Raw genomic sequence first — 16583 nt, 5'->3', positions numbered from 1 at the left:
TAGTGCTCCACTTCCTTGCCAGCATTTAGTTATAGCAGCCAATTTTGGTCAGTCTGAGTGAGGGTGTGCAGTGTTACCTTATTGTGGTTTTAATTTGTACTTTCTTGAAGACTGATGATTTTGAGTGAGTTTTCATGTGTTTACCTCTTTTGTGAAGTGTCTATTTGCCCTTTCTTCTTCATGTACCATGTGCTCTATCCCAGTGGTTCTCAGCCTTGGCTGCACAGTAAAACATCTTTAGACTTTTGGTCTGGGCTCCACCTTCTGAAACTCTGATTTAATTTTTATGGCTTGTGGCCCCTGTCATTGGTGTTTATGAAAGATGCACCCTCAGTGATGTCATGTGCACTCAGTTTTGAAAACTCTACTGTTGTACTTCAGGGTTCTCGAACTTCAGTAGGCACCACAATCACCTAGAATGCGTGTTAAAACATAGAGGACTGGGGTCCGCCCCAGAGTTTCTGATCCAGTAAGCCTGGGTTAGAGCCTGAGAATCTGCATTTCTAACAAATACTCCACATGATATGATGCTGCTGGTTCTGGGCCATCCTCTGAGTTCCACTGCTTTAGCCAAACTAAACTGGCAACTTCCCCAATTCTTTCATACCTTTCTTCCTTGTATATACTGTTCTTTCCATGCGGAATGCCATCTAATTCTTTTTTACTTTGCATACATTTTTTCATTCTTCAAGAACCAACTACAATGTTACACAGACTTTGTGAAGTCTGCTCTATCATCTCACTTCCTACACCCGATTGTATGACTTATGTGACATTTTTACCTATCATACTGTTTTACTTATTTGTTCTGGTTGCAACATCTTCTCTTCTACCCAGTGAGAGCTCTGTGAAACCAGAAACCAGTAGGTCTTATTCTTTGAATCTTAAGCAACCAACAATATCTGGCACATTACTGAGTTTCCATTATTTAATTAAAAATTCTTTCGGTTGTTATTTTAATGAATAAGTGTCTGGGTGACTAAAGAAAATGTGATATGTAAGGCTTCTCACATACTCGGTTTTCATAAAACCACAAGTTACCATCTGTTACTAAATTCATGGCCAGATCACATGAGTCAGAGAACAAATCTATAGCAAAAACTGAAGCAAAAGCCCTATATCATCACAGGATACTGTTAGTGTTATCTTTATTAAAAAAAAGAAAGCCATAAGAATGGAATTTAAAAATAAATTGTTTTGAATTGAATGTGCTGAGAGCTATACAATCAAATAAAAATTTAACAAACTGAAATCAAATCATAATTCTTCTCAGAATATTACATTTGTTTCCTGAAGTCTTTCTTATCAAATAAGAAGTGCTTTTTTAACAAATTTGGATAATCCAGGGTTTTTAAAAATACAAAGTTTCATATGAAGATTATGTTGCTAGGAATGTAATGTTTTATTGAAAGCTTCACTGGCAAAATGAGATGATCATAACAATAGCAATAATGATAACAGCGGCAATTTACTTGTTTACTTTGTGCCAGTGACTTTGCTAAGTGCAGTCCATGCATTATATTTTTTAATCGTTACAAAAGCCCCATGAGGTGGGTATTATTACTCTATTTTCATACCAAGGCTGAAAGAAGTTAAATAGTTTGTTCAAGGCCAGTATTCAATTCCATTTCTATGTAGGGGTGCCAGATAAAATACAGGAAACCCAGTTGAATTTGAATTTCAAATTAAATAACACTTTTTGGTACATTTCATGTAGTATTTGGGACATGATTATATTAGAAAATCATTTACTATTTATCTGAAATGCAACTTTAACTGAGTGTCCTGTATTTTATTTGCTAAATCTGGAGACCCTATCTCTATCTGACTCCAAAAAATTTGCATCAGACCACTAGGTTGTATTGCATTCCAATTCTCTCTTATGTACAGGTAAGTACAGGTTTACTTATATGAAATTTGTGGAATAAACTTCAAACATTTAGTAAAGCATCAAGGTCTTTTATAATTTGCCCTCTGTTCTCCTTGTCCCCACATTCAGGGGTGCAGCAAATGCCAAGGCCTTGAAACAGGAGCTGAGCAGTGTGTGCCTGGAAACTACAGAGCTGATGTGGTGTGAATGGGAGAGAACTAGGAGCCAGATCAGAGAGGTAGCAGGGGCCAGATCACGCAAGACTTTGTAGATCAACGTAAGGACTTCGGTATCTATTCCAAGCAAGGTAGGCAGTTATTAGAGAGTTTTAAGTACAATGAAATAGCCTGGCTAAAGCTTTAACACAGCCAAATTGGCAGCTCTTTGGAGAACAATCTGCAGAAGACTAAGGCCAGAAGCAGGGAGTTATTGCAAAATATTCAGTCATTAGCTCATGTAGCTGCTTTGCTCTATAGTAGAACTCATGGTTCAGGCTTTAGGCTGTGTTACTTGGGGTCTTGGTGACAACTTGCAGTTTAGAGCTGGGGACAGGGCATTGTCCTTGCAACTTTAATGTGGAACCTGATGTGGCTTCTCTGGCACAATGAGACCTGAAGGGATCTTACACCAAGTGCACCTTGTGGGTCCTGCACCTCTGAGTGTGAGAGAGTCATACTGGTTCTCACAAAAGGCAGCAGCAAAGTCTGTGGCAAGGCTGCATCCTCAAGGGGGAGGGCAGGTAGTGGGCAGGTAGAAGAAGCACATCATCAGATATGCTCCTGAGCACAGGTGAGATACTTTTTGGGACTCCCAGAAGCAGCTGGGAGAGATTGTGAGGGAGTGGCAAGGTATTGCAGCTATGCAGAGGCTGATATAAAGCCAGTAGACTTTTATTATTAATATAACTGTGACTTAATTTATCCCATGTCTGGAAATGCATGGAAACATTTGGGTCACCAAAATTAAATGCATGAAGTTAAGTAGGACAATAAAACAGAAAATACAGGCCTGGCACAGTGGCTCACACCTGTAATCCCAGCACTTTGGGAGGCCGAGGTGGGCGGATCACCTGATGTCAGGAGTTAGAGACCACTCTGGCCAACATGGTGAAACCTCATCTCTACTAAAATACAAAAATTAGCCAGGCGTGGTGGTGGGTGCCTGTAATCCCAGCTACTCGGGAGGCTGAGGCAGGAGAATTGCTTGAACTTGGGAGATGGAGGTTGTGGTGAGCCAAGATCACGCCACTGCACTCCAGCTTGGGCAACAGAGAGAGACTCTGTCTCAAAACAAAGAAACAAACAAACACACAAACCAGAAAATATACACAAGGATAAAAATGCCCTACAATAAAAACGGAAAGACTTGGCAAAGTTTTTCTGACTTTGGAAAAAAATATATAAGAGGATACAAATGCTCTACATCATAAAAGACTTAACAAAGTCTTTCTGACTTTCTAAGTCTTTTTTTTTTTTTTGTCATAGTGCAGTAGGTCACCTAGACTAGGTCAATTGCAGGACACATGCACCATGGTTGTTTATCTTATCCCTAACTCCATCCAAATAATGGTACTGATTTCTTTATGCCTTCAATATCTGTTCTCAGTAGGACAGGGAAGATAGCTTATGATGGATTGATAGAGTTCAAGACGAAGGTCTTTGAATGCTGTGCTAAAATACGAAAATCAAACAAAATTCAAAATCAAACAGATTAAGTAACTACAGAGTAGCACAAAATGCCTACTCTGTGCCAAGCATGTGCCTTTTAGACATTAGTTCATTCACTCCTCATGGCAATTGTGAGCCAGACACATATTATTGTCAACCCTCTTTTATAGATGGAAAAACTAAAGCCAGTGAAGGCACAGGTAAGTGGCTTGCTCAAAGTCATGGGACTTTGAATATGCTTCTGTCAGACTGCAGGCAGAGCTCTTGTTTCTAACAGTTAAGCCATCCAACCTCCAGGAGAGATTTTGCCTTAATGGCAGAGTTCGTTAACTACAATAAAAATGATTGAAATCAAGTGAGATGGCAAGAGTAGCAAGTCTGAAATAAGAGGGGACACTTATTACAAAGGGATCAGAACTCTTGAAGAGGAGGGATTCCAGGTGGAAAGCTGGAAGCAGAGATACCTGCTTATTACACTTTCTCTCACATCAAAGGCTGAGTCATATCCCATTTCTGTTGAGAACAGATGGCCAGTGGACATGCATGACCCATGCAGGTCACCTAGGCCAGGTCAGTTGCAGGACACATTCACCATGGCTGTTCATCCTATCCCTAACTCCATCCAAATAAGGGTACTGCTGTCTTTATGCCCTCAATATCTATTCTCAGTAGGACAGGGAAGATAGCATATGATGGATTGACAGAGTTCAAGATGAAGGTCTTTGAATGCTGTGCTAAGATACATGCCAAAATCCAACAGATTGAGTACTACTTTCTTCCTTGTAATTTACAATTCCAACTAATTCAGTTGGCACTACCTTTGTGGAACATGTCTCACAGTTCTTGTTTGTCCTCTAGCCAGCATTCATTCAAAATGATAAGAAAAAGAAAGAGAAGCGCAGTTGATAAGGGGGATCATCCAGGTGAAGGACTTCATTAGGAAAGAAACAAAAAGTCTCAAAAAGAAGGAGACATTTTCAGCCTTTCTTATAAAGAAAGACCAAGAATACTGATCAGAATGCTTTATGCATTCCAGTTTTTCAATGGTGTACCAGAATGTTTACTTTCAGTTGTCTTCAACTGCAGGATTGGATTTGAGGTCCAGACCTTCCCCAGTGTGCACAGAAATTCAATACCTGGTAAGCCCAGGTGACTTACTGCTTAGTTGAATGTTTTGTTAAATCCTGAAAGATGTATTACAACGTAGTACTCAGCTTTCATGTCTAAGTATTACACAGTTCAGCTAGGTAAATCTACTGTGGATTCTTGCTAGATTTGCCTGATTTGATTGTGTGTAGTCAGCAAAAGGAAAAGTAATTATAAGTAGAATTCAAAAGAACTCAAATTCTCCTTAATCCATTTAAATGTTTTGCTTGTCTATAGTTTCCTTTGGGAATTGATGGTTTAGCTCTGTAGTTTCAAACCTTGGTTTGATAAAGCACAGATTCCAGGGCTGCTTCTTGAGATAATCTATGTTGGCATTTTAGCACCCCAGGTATTGAGTGTAAGTTGACCAAAAACTCTCCTTTGGAAAACACTGGATTAGCCTAAGGCTCCATAACACATCTGAAAGCTTTATAATGTCCTAGAGTGTTCACAGAAGCCTTTTCTCATACACCTGAGGAGAGCTCATTTGCTTTTTTGAATTAGCACTGTGTTAAGCACTAGCTTTCCTATAGTATTTCCATTATGGCAAAGGCCACTTTAATTTTGGATGATGTTATTTTATATAAAGGGGAATACAGATTTGGTGGATATAAATATAGAGAATAAAAGAGATTGAAATGTTGTATTTGTGAAGTTTCCAGTAGTTTTTATTTTTTAAAATTCACCTTTACCTACCTATGTATAATGTGAATTATCTAATGCTTTTGGGATTTTAAATATATTTTCCATAAAATGATCTGGGGACAATGAAGGATGATTTGAATATTGTTTATTCAATTTTAGCACATGTCGTTTCTCTAATTTGTCATCCTTCAAGGTAAAGTTCCAACCCCATTTCTGCCAGGAGTCTTTATTGACCATAGTGGCTATGTCTGGTTCCCCAACTATAAACTATGTTTTTTGTATGGTTCTTACCATGACATGCTGCATTGTATTTTTTGTCTGTGGCCTTTATCCTCAGTTAGTTCATATCTTTCTTATTTTCCTTCTTTATCCCCAGCAGTCAATCAGTGAATACTTGCTAGTGGATTTATTCAGAAACACGACTATAGTAGTGGTTTCATAGTGTATGTATAGTGCATCAATACAGAATTTAACTGTAGATAAATCCAAATTTTGACTTCTATGCACTACTGAAATATATAGGTATAGATTATTGTAGAATCACAGATTTTTAGTCTTGGCTGGCTGCTTATAAATTATAAAGTCCGAGCTTGTTTTTTGTTTAGTTTTTCTGTTTTTGTGCATGAGGAAATCAGTCATCTGTCTGGTTTTTTTTTTATTATACTTTAAGTTTTAGGGTACATGTGCACAACGTGCAGGTTTGTTACATATGTATACATGTGCCATGTTGGTTTTTTTTTTTTTTTTTAAGACAGAGTTTTTGCTCTGTTGCCCAGGCTGGAGTGCAATGGCTCAATCTCAACTCACAACAACCCCCGTCTCTTGGGTTCAAGCGATTCTCCTGCCTCAGCCTTCTGAGTAGCTGTAATTACAGGTACCTGCTACCATGCCCGGCTAATTTTTGTATTTTTAGTAGAGATGAAGTTTCACCATGTTGGCCAGGCTGGTTTCAAATTCTTGATCTCAGGTAATTCACCCACCTCAGCCTCCCAAAGTGCTAGGATTACAGGCGTGAGCCACCATGCCCAGCCAGGAAATCAGTCCTCTCTCTACAAGACACTAAGCTACTTGAGACAAGGAGCCATACTCTTAAACATTTCCTTTCATACATAAAGCAAGGACTTTAGTTATCCCTGCATTTTTGGTAGCACCTGGTGCACACATGATAGATTCCCAAATGTTAGTTGAAAGAATTGCTTCATGGAAATCATTTTCACTAAGTGTATATTTAGAACTAGACATTATGTAGATAGTCTGTGCTCATATCTTTGGCTTCTCACCACCTCACAAGGGGCACCACCACCTACAGCTACCCTACTAGCTCATTTTGTTGAATTTCCTTCACTTCAGATCCAATTCTTATTTCCTGTTCATTCTTTTTCAAGAGCATTCTGGATTTGCCTTGAGCAGCCAAATGGGCATGTGGATACCAGCTCTTCTTTGTGAGAAAAACTCTAATTATATTGTATCTTTGCTGTTCAAATCTATGATGCCCTTTATTACCTAAAAAGAAAATATTTGTGCTTTTATTTCACTTTTTGGGAACCAAGGATGGTTTGGTTCAGTAGCCTGGAAAGGAGATAACAGTGAACACCAGACTAGGGAATTTTCTCTTGGCCAATCACTAGGAGAGACTCCTTAGTTTCAATCCGGATTGCAAGGACTGAGTGTTAAACCCTTCCTCATTTATTATTTTCCAAGTCTTAGAAACAAAATGATATAATAGAGATAGGATTTATCTCTAGTTCCCTAAGCCTCCAATGATAATACCAGGGTTGAGGGAGAAAACCTGATGAGTACCTCCAGGCAGGTGCTCAGTTCTAATCAGCTATTTTCTGTGTGTTTAGAGTATAGTCCAGATACCATGGTTTGGATTTATTGCCATGACTGTATGGTTAAGCCTTGCTCTTTCAGACATATTGCTCCTAGGAAACATGCATCCAGAGTAAAACTGAAACAGAATGGTTTTTGAAATTTCTGATCTTGCCTATTTTGTAAAAAAAGAAAGTCAAGAGAGACTCAGAGAAGTTATTTGGTTAGGTAGTTCAATTGGACTGATAATGACAGATCTGGGACTGAAATTGGCCATGCCCTCCCTTTCTTGTCAGCCTTTCCATAACTGTCTTACTCTTTCACCCTCTCATCCAATATTTGGAGTGACTTCATGCCCATGTAGATGACTCATCTTGCATCTGAGCCCCTCATTCCTTAGATTCTTCATCTGCTGTGACTTTCGCACTGATCCCACTTCTATCACTCCCTCCCATAGAACATCTCATCATCTCTTAAACTGTCCACCTCTGAAATATCTCGGTCCCTAAGTACAGACTTTGTTTTTCTTTTATTCATTTAGTTCCTCTTTCTCTAGTCCTTAATGGTATATGTAGGGGCTTTTTGTTCCCTTTGTGCCTTTATTTTCTCATTTTTAAACTGCCCCCCACAACCGTGTTCCTTTCCTTCCCTGTTGGTTAGATTCCATGACCCATCTAGTCAGCCACTCTTATTTATTTATTTTTTTACTAATATCCTAACTCCTTTTATTTATTGTTTTTTTTTTGCACTATCTGACAAAAATGCAACTTTGAACATGTTTGCTTTCTTCATGCTTCCATAAGGGCTGATAAAAGCCAATGGAGAAAAGGCAGATTGATAACGTGATAACAGTAGTTCTCAAAGTGTGATCCCAGACCAGCAGCATCAGTATAATTTAGGAACATGTTACAAATACAAATTCCTAGAGCCCCCTTCAGCATACTGAATCAGAATCTCTCAGAATGGGACACAAGAATCTGCGTTTTTACAAAGTTCTCTAAGTAGTTCTGATACATCTTAAAGTTTGCAAAATACTACTCTATTAATTCTTGATCTTTAACCTTAACTGGCTACTAACACTGCCAATCTTTATATGTTTTTTAAATTAGTAATCTTTAGTGTTTTCCATAGGAGCCTTTTCAAATCTTTTTCATTCCCCTCAAATCTGTGATAGTGCCCATCTCTCCTCATTCCCCAGAGGTTATCACTCTCTGACTTATCTTAGTTTGTGCTTGAACTCCCTCAAACTCCTGCCACAACATCCTTAGACTAATCACAGTCACTTGCAGTGGATGAGTCTTCAGGTATGTATACTTGTGGTCTAGATCCCTTTCCTTTCAGCATTGGGGATCTTTTCTCTTTCTCTTCACCAAGTTCTCTCTCTCTACTGGCATCCTTCACCTAATCTCATCACAACTTAACATTCACACTCTTTGGGATTTTGACTCTGTGTGTGATGAAAAACATTGTAGGGTTTTAAGCAAGGAAATGGCATTATCTGACAGATAGTTTATAAAGATATTTACCCTTCTTCTGTGGAGAATGGGTTGCATGAGGCAAGAGTTGAAGCAAGAAAACCAGTTTAGATATTATGGAAAATCTGAAGAGCAGGGATCGTGGCTTGGGTCATGGTACTTGTTGTGGAGTTGTAACTAACTTTGGGGGTGTGAGTTGGAAGTAGCATTAACAAGGATAAAGGTGGGGGCCAAGGATGATCTTAGTCTTTGGTTTTAATAACTATGTGAATGGCGATGCTGTTTACCAGAATGAGGAAGCCTGGGAAAGTGCAAAATGACTAGAAAAAAATCAAGACTGTTTCTGGCCATGTTAAGTTTCAATTGTTTATTGGAGAGCTATGTGGTGATAGGCAACTAAACATTTGACTCTAGAGTCCCATGAAGAGATCAGGGATAGAAATGTGAATTTAGGAATCTTGGCCTATAGATAATATTTAACGCTCTAGTATTTGATGAAGACATCTTGGGACAGGGTGTAGAAAGAGAAGATGGCCTAAGACAAAACCCTGAGCTACCCAATATTTAAAGTGGGAGCATGGAGGGAAAATTTCTAGTACAGGAAACTGATAATGAGCAAGTGGTAAATTAGGAGAATTTCTCAGAAGAAGGAAGTGGTCAGCTTATGAAAAATTCTGCTGAGAAGTAAATTAAAATAAGAACAGAGAAGTAACCATTGTAAATGGCAGCATGGAGGCCTCCAGAGAGCTCAAGGAGTGTAGTCACAATGGAATCCTGACAGCAGAGATCTGATTAGAATGAGTTGAAGAAATCATGTTGTCGAATTAGTCCTGCTGAATCATGTAGTCCTGCCTAAGGAGAAGCTGGGACATTTGTTTGTTCTTTAATCCTTAATCAATAGATTCCTGAAATCAATGTCAGTCTAAGAACAGGTGCTTGTGTTCTGCAAACTGATACAGACTTTCATGGAAATAGGGGTGGTTGTTAAAAGTTCATATTTGAAAAGTTTAAATGAAGGTGCTGGCTGGGCACAGTGGTTCACACATGTAATCCCAGCTCTTTGGGAGGCCGAGGTGGGCAGATCACTTGAGGTCAGGAGTTTGAGACCAGCCTGGCCAACATGGTGAAACCGCATCTATATTAAAATTACAAAAATTAGCTGGATGTGGTGGCAGGTGCCTGCAATCCCAGCTACTCGGGAGGCTGAGGCAGGAGAATCGCTTGAACCAGGGGGGCGGAGGTTGCAGTGAGCTGAGATCATGCTACTGCACTCCAGCCTGGGGGACAGAGTGAGACTCTGTCTCAAAAATAATTAATTCAATAAATAAACAAAAAATAATAAAGGTGCCATAAATTTTAACAGAGCTGGCATGTTAAAAGTTAATATAGAATCTATGCAATTCAGCTGTCTTGGAAACTATTGATAAAACAAGCACCATGACAAAATGAGTTAAGTAACTAAAGGTACAGTATTAAACTGGAACCTGATTTTTACCTGGGATAAGCCAAATTTAACATGATCAGTCCATAGATATTTGGAAGTTGGCGACATATATACCCACATTTGCCCGCATATCATTTTTATTAGTTAAGTCCTTTGAGATAGTATATTTAATTTCATGCTTGATAAAATATGAGAAATAACATCCTCATCAGCATACATTTACCAAGTCCGTGATGTGGTTATGCAGGAAAGGACATCTGGAAATGAGCAGTATAATGATTACAATATTAGGAAAATACAACTTGTAAAGAAGCAGGTCTTAGCCAAATTCCCAACTCATAATAACTGATTATCAGGCAGTACAGGCATTGAAAATGATGAACTGGCCATCTACCAAAGTGTCATCTTAGGGAGCACACTGTAGACAAGACTGTTGGCCATACAAATAGTATAAATAATTATCATCAGTTAGTAAACCAGGTATCTTCCAGTATATTGTAGTTTGTTACCAGGATATTATATCCACATATAGTTCACTTGTAATTGCATAAATGCAAGGTTCCTTTTGCAATGGAGCATTTTGGAGAGAATCTTTCACTTTGGACTTTAAATATACCTAATCTCTTACATGATATTTATTTTGCTCCTTCATTTAGACTTTCCTATTTTAAGTTAGCAATAAAGTATTGAGCACTTATTATGTGCAAAGCACTATACTCATGTTCCCTTAAATATATGCATATAAGAGAAATAAGCCCCAAATGATTTAATCCTTATTTTAGAATGAATGAGTTGCTAACATGCTAGTGTTGTTACCCAAAGGGTGTGAATACCAAATGTTTCTTTCCTACCAGCTCATGACCCCCATCTTCATCGAAGTCCTCCTCTATCCCATCTGTCATCTCTTCTCCATCGGCATCTGGCCCTCCTTCAGCAGGCTCCTCTGTAGAGTGATCTGCAATCTCTGACACACATTCCTCTTGGATCAGCACTAGACTCTCTTCCAATTGCTTCTTCTGAGCTTCTGGGGGGGGGAGAAAGCAAATGACTACTACCTTGGGTTGCTCATGAGCCATTTGGATAAACCATGAAAAAACAGTCCATGAAAGGGTAAACGCTATATGCTATTAAAGGTGTACAGAAGGTAAGGTAATATTATGCTTTAAGTTGAATTTTTTCAATCATGTAAATCATGTACAGATTTCTATGTGCACTTACATGTAAGCATATTTATTTAACAGAATTAGCAAAAATTAGGGAATCCAGATGGTAGTAGTACATAAATTAGTAAGATTTACATAAACAGATTGATCTTTCTGGCTACTTTATTTTATATATAGTGCTTTCTAATAAGGATGGTCTTTCTGAGAGGAAAAATAGAGCAAAAACAAATGGCAAAAATCAGATACAACATAGAACTTTTTCACTCAAGGAAGCAGGATTGAGAAAATTCATTGACAAGTTCAAACCTAAGTGAAAAAGACAAAAACTCACTGAGGAAAAAAGTACAAAAGCAAATATGTTGTTTTTCAGACAACATGTCTGTGTGAATAATTGCCGGAAATTTTAAAGTCTAAATTATGTTGACAGATGTGGTTAACTTCAATGGTTAAGAACATAAATTCTGGGGTCAGACAACCTGGGTTCAAAGTTGAGCTTCATCACCTAATAGCTTTGTGATGCTGTGCAAAGTGGAAATGATTAACCCTCCATGTGTCTCAGTTTTCTCATCCATGCAATAAGGACAACTATTTCCTAAACTTTCAGGGTTTGGTATAGTGAATCAAAGTGTTAGTATAGAGACTTGCAAATAATAAGTGCTCAACAAATGAAGCTACACTCCACATTACTAGAATTTCCTCTAGTTGTCAGGATCTGTGCATTCCATATACAGAAACCTGCTCAAATGGAAATTGTGCTGACAGCATCGTAATTATTTCCTCTAGTGGGTGGTATTCATCCCCTATGATAATACAAAGAAATGTTGGGTATCCGATAAATTAGATCATTGTATGTTCCTCCTTCTCTAACTTATTCCCATGTGTTCATGACTATTCAAAAGTTGGTTGTTTTCACTAATTTTGCTGGGTTATTTTTTATCAGATGATTAATCTATCCTTTGATCTGAGTTTTTAAATAGCCTAATTTTTTATCTTATTTATTGATAATTTATGACAATAAAGGTAGTTTATAGAGCTAAATAACTTTAGGGTATTCATTTCTGGTCTTTTTCATAACGTGAGATAAAAGGAAAATGAGCATTGATATAAACATTTTGTCTCAGCACCAAACTTTCCAAACATAACTAATATATAAATCAACAAACTGATATAAATATAATGTACAAATAAGCAAATAAGCAGATATTCTTTCCAAGAAATTGCTTATAATTAAAATAATAATTACTTTTATAAATAAATGTGTATCTATACTTTCTTGCATTTTAATTCTCCAAATGATAAAGTTTATTGAAAATAAGACAGTAGTAAAGGGTTGCCGTGCCTTGCCTCTGTTGTCAGAGTTTAGTTACTCTGAGCTCTAGTTGACAAGATTCTAGCTCTAGCTTTGTTACTTACCCACAGAATTATAGACACTGAGTTTGAGTCTAAGTTTTGGCCATTTGTTCGGGGCAGGTCCTTTAAGCACATTAAGTCATTCTTTCCTCATCTATACCTACCTCTGGGTTTTACTGTGAGAATTAGCAGAGCTTATATTTGGGAAATGTTTTGCAAATTATAAAGGACTACATAAATGTGTTCTATTATATACAAAAGGTAGACGGTATGCTCTTCACTGAATAACAACAACAGTAAACTTAGATCAAGAGGCCTGTTGAGATCACAGAACAACACTCATGGGGCTGAGGCTGTGTTTCAGAGGAGAAAAAGAGCTGGTAGATCAAACCAAGGCTGGAAATAATTACTACGGGTATCATAAATGACCAAAACATAGGCTCTTTTTCATTAAGAGAAAGACATTTACTTCATATAAATAGACACAAGCTATACACGCCTTGATGTTTTTAAAATCAACTTATTAGGTTCAAATTTCTCCATTTAACAACATTATTTGTGCAGTAAGGATGTGAATTCTGCTTTTAAAACTATACTTTTTATCTTGATATGCATATACAGATGTACTGATGGAAGGAAGTATAGTACATAAATTCTTCCCATTTTTCCTAATGTCTATATAACATTTAGCACAGAAAGTCCTATGAAGACTATAAAGTGGTTATTGTAAAATGTAACCAAGATTTTTTCTAAATATAGAAAATTATTATCCAATTTAAGAAGGTAAAACTGAGTTAAAGAAAAAAATCTGTTTAATCTAGAGAAGACTCAGTTGTTTGAATTCAAAGGAAGTTAAATAAGGCAAGAAAGACCAAAACACTCTCAATTTTACTCTTACTGAAGATTTCTAGGTTTTATTCTCATTTTCCTTCCACATATCATTCATTGTGCTCTACAGTTCTAGATCTGTAACCTAGGTTAACCCACATACACATCTATTAGTAGGCTCCACTGAGAAAATGATGTGATAAGTTGACTAGCTCGAGCATTGGACAGTTTTGAATCCTTTACCATTAATCACATCTCTTGTTCTATTCTGTTGCCTCTCCTATCACTGATCCTTTGACTGCACAATGGAGGTGGCTACTCTGGTTTTGGCCCCCCACTCTTCCTCCTAAAAGAAGTTTTTGTACACATCATCTAAACCGCTCACTTCTTGCCACTCTATGTCACCCTGCCGCTTGTTCAAAATGCCCTAGCTTTCAAGACCTAGTGTTGGTACCTGAAGAAAGAGAGAGAAATAGAAATTTGGGATTCTTATAATTCTGTACAGTGAAAAATGCTTTGAATCTTATAAATTTTTTAAACCCAAACATTCTCAATGTCAGGTCATTGTGTTTATCTTTTTGTTACAACACATAAATGGACTTTTGCTTAAGATTGACATATATTAGGAATTCAATTGGCCTAGTATATCCATTTCTTCTCTAATGATTCCAGAAATATTTGCTCTTTGAGAACTCTTACTTTTTGATGTTGAAAGTAACATATACATATGTGTGTGTGTGTAATATATATACATATATGTGTGTGTATATGTGTGTGTGTGTTTGTGTGTATATGTATATATAATTTTTTCTCTAGAAGATCTCTGGCCAAGGAAGCATAGCAGATTTTCAAAGGACCCCTGTAGGACCACACTTTAAACATGCATAGTCCTCATCTGGCTTCATGTATCAATTTGTTTCAGCTTGTATCAGGAAAGCTGACTTTCCTGATCTTCCCAGCTGAATGTAATCTTTCCCTCTTTGATCAACCAAGGCCCTGATCAAATGCTGTCTTATAGTTAGTTCTACTGTTTTCTCATCTTCTTCTCATTAGTGTTTAAGCTTCCTGGAAAGTTGAGCTATTGCCTCAGAAGATCGTTGTCACACTCAAAAAGGATGATACAGAGGTCGATCTTTAGTAAACTGAAAGGCACAATTCAAGTCAGTTATCAAAACATTTTGATGTGCTCCGTACCCCTCACTGAATGCCTTGCACATGAAGAGATAAGGTATCAGGAAGGATATAGGGTTTGAGATCCATACTTCTGCTAATTACTAGTCCTATTAATTGTAATTTTCTTCTCTAAAAGGTAAGCATGAAAATAACATCTATTTCAGAGTTGCTGTGTGCTCTAACGAAGAAAAAGATGTGACTGTGTTTTTTAAACTGCAAAGACCACACAAACATGTTATAACAGGCTCAAAACAGTTCTTGAGTTGAATCTATATTTATTTCTTGATTGCTATAGACAAATTTCCCATGTCAAAATTATTCGCCCCTACTGATCATTAAGAATCAGGCATTATAAAGATTATCTTGGGTTTTGGTTTCAACACAGCCTTTTTAGTTCTATGTTTAGACAGGCATAGTCCAGTACTGATATGGTTTGTCTGTGTCCCCACCCAAATCTCATCTTGAATTGTAGCTCCCATAATACCCATGTGTTGTTGGAAGAACCCAGTGGGAGATAATTGAATGATGGGGGTGGTTTCCCCCATTATAGTAAATAAGTCTCACAAGATCTGATGGTTTTATAAGGGGTTTCCCGTTTCTCCTGGCTCTCATTCTCTCTTGCCTGCTGCCATATAAGATGTGCCTTTCACTTTCTGCTATGACTGTGAGGCCTCCCCAGCCACATGGAACTGTGAGTTCATTAAACCTCTTTTTCTTTTTAAGTTACCCAGTCTTGGGTATGTCTTTATTAGCAGCATGAGAACAAACTAATACAGTATATAGTACATAGACATAGTTACTCTATTTTTTGTATTAACATACAATATACATGTGATTCTGACGATGTATTTCAAAGGCAGTGGTATATTAATACAGTTCATTGCAAAAAATCCTATATATTATTCTCATCATCCAATCATTAACTTGAAAGCTAAATGCTTGGAAGTCATTATCTGAGTTGAGGGAAAAAAAAGCTTTAATTATAATGGTATTGAGTCACAGGAGTTTAACAAATACAATCAGCCTGTGTGTTAGTAATAGGTAGTCAACATAGCTTTTGTCATCATCTCAATGGGAAATATTATAATCACTAAACAATGATAGGTTCCATGAATAAAATCACACATGAAAGCACATCTTCTTTATTAAACTGTTGGTTCACAGTTTAATAGGCAGTTTTGATTCAGTAATTACATTGCTGAAGTAGAGATAAAGCAACTTGTTCTTTTTTTATGAATAATTATCTAATTTTACTTTTCTTGGAGATGAGTAACGTTTAGTTCGTTCTTTATACAATTCTCTTTATTTGCATAGTTATTCTTCTAGTCATCACTCTTTTTACTGTCAATGTGATTGTGTGAGTGTGTATGTGTGTTTGTGTGTATGTGCATTTCTCTCTCTGCTGCTAAAGCTTCTTTGGGTCAGAAACATTTTTATTATTCATCTTTGTTTACCTGGTGGCTAACTCAGACCCTTAATCACAAGTTAAGTGTTTGCTGAATATATTAATGAATTGTGGAATCAACTAATTAAAATAAATATCAAATGTGTCAAATTCTTTTCAGTTAAAGTGACAGTTGAATTTTGCACACCATGGTAACAAAAATATAAATCCAAGATAACTTAAAAAGAAACAAAACTGAAAAACCTCGTTGCCACATTCTACATGACAATCCCAAACCACAAAGTCAAAGTAAAATGTGAGGTCTGAAATTTTCTGGGAAGAAAATTGTTTGTGTTTATATTGACAAGTCTTCAAGAGAAAAATGAAATGTGAAGTCTTCCAGTGCTTATTGGAGGAGGGCTGCCTTCGAACACTGGCATCTTTTGGAGTGTCTGTTGGCTTCTTTAAGTCAGAGTGATGGATGACCATAGCATTTCTTTTGTGAAAAGAGAAATGAGTATTAGATTTTTTTTAAAGGTCGATTAGAAGCCAAAAAGCCAACAGCTTATGTAAAAAGACACCTCTAAGACACCTACATTATGGATTACAAAAAGAAACGGTTTATA

At 37.1% G+C, this 16583-nt stretch overlaps 1 protein-coding gene across 58 annotated transcripts in view; it reads right to left on the bottom strand.

The window, feature by feature from the left end:
• Positions 1–16583, bottom strand: part of RALYL (RALY RNA binding protein like) — a 739058-nt gene that overhangs the window by 23158 nt on the left and 699317 nt on the right. For 43 of the 58 annotated variants that reach the window (NM_001413301.1, NM_001413300.1, NM_001354325.2 and 40 more), the window contains one exon: positions 10911–11083. The exons of 11 other annotated variants lie outside the window; for them this stretch is intronic. In NM_001413301.1, the coding sequence (NP_001400230.1) occupies positions 10911–11083 (173 nt within the window). Of the gene's footprint in view, positions 1–10910; positions 11084–15289; positions 16454–16583 lie in introns of those variants that run through there. 4 more of the 58 variants (NM_001354314.2, NM_001413319.1, XM_011517462.4 and 1 more) reach the window with 2 other exon arrangements.

Source organism: Homo sapiens, chromosome 8 (assembly GCF_000001405.40).
Source record: "Homo sapiens chromosome 8, GRCh38.p14 Primary Assembly".
In the NCBI taxonomy this organism is placed as follows: Eukaryota; Metazoa; Chordata; class Mammalia; order Primates; family Hominidae; genus Homo; species Homo sapiens.
This window is presented reverse-complemented; position numbering and strand designations above follow the sequence as displayed.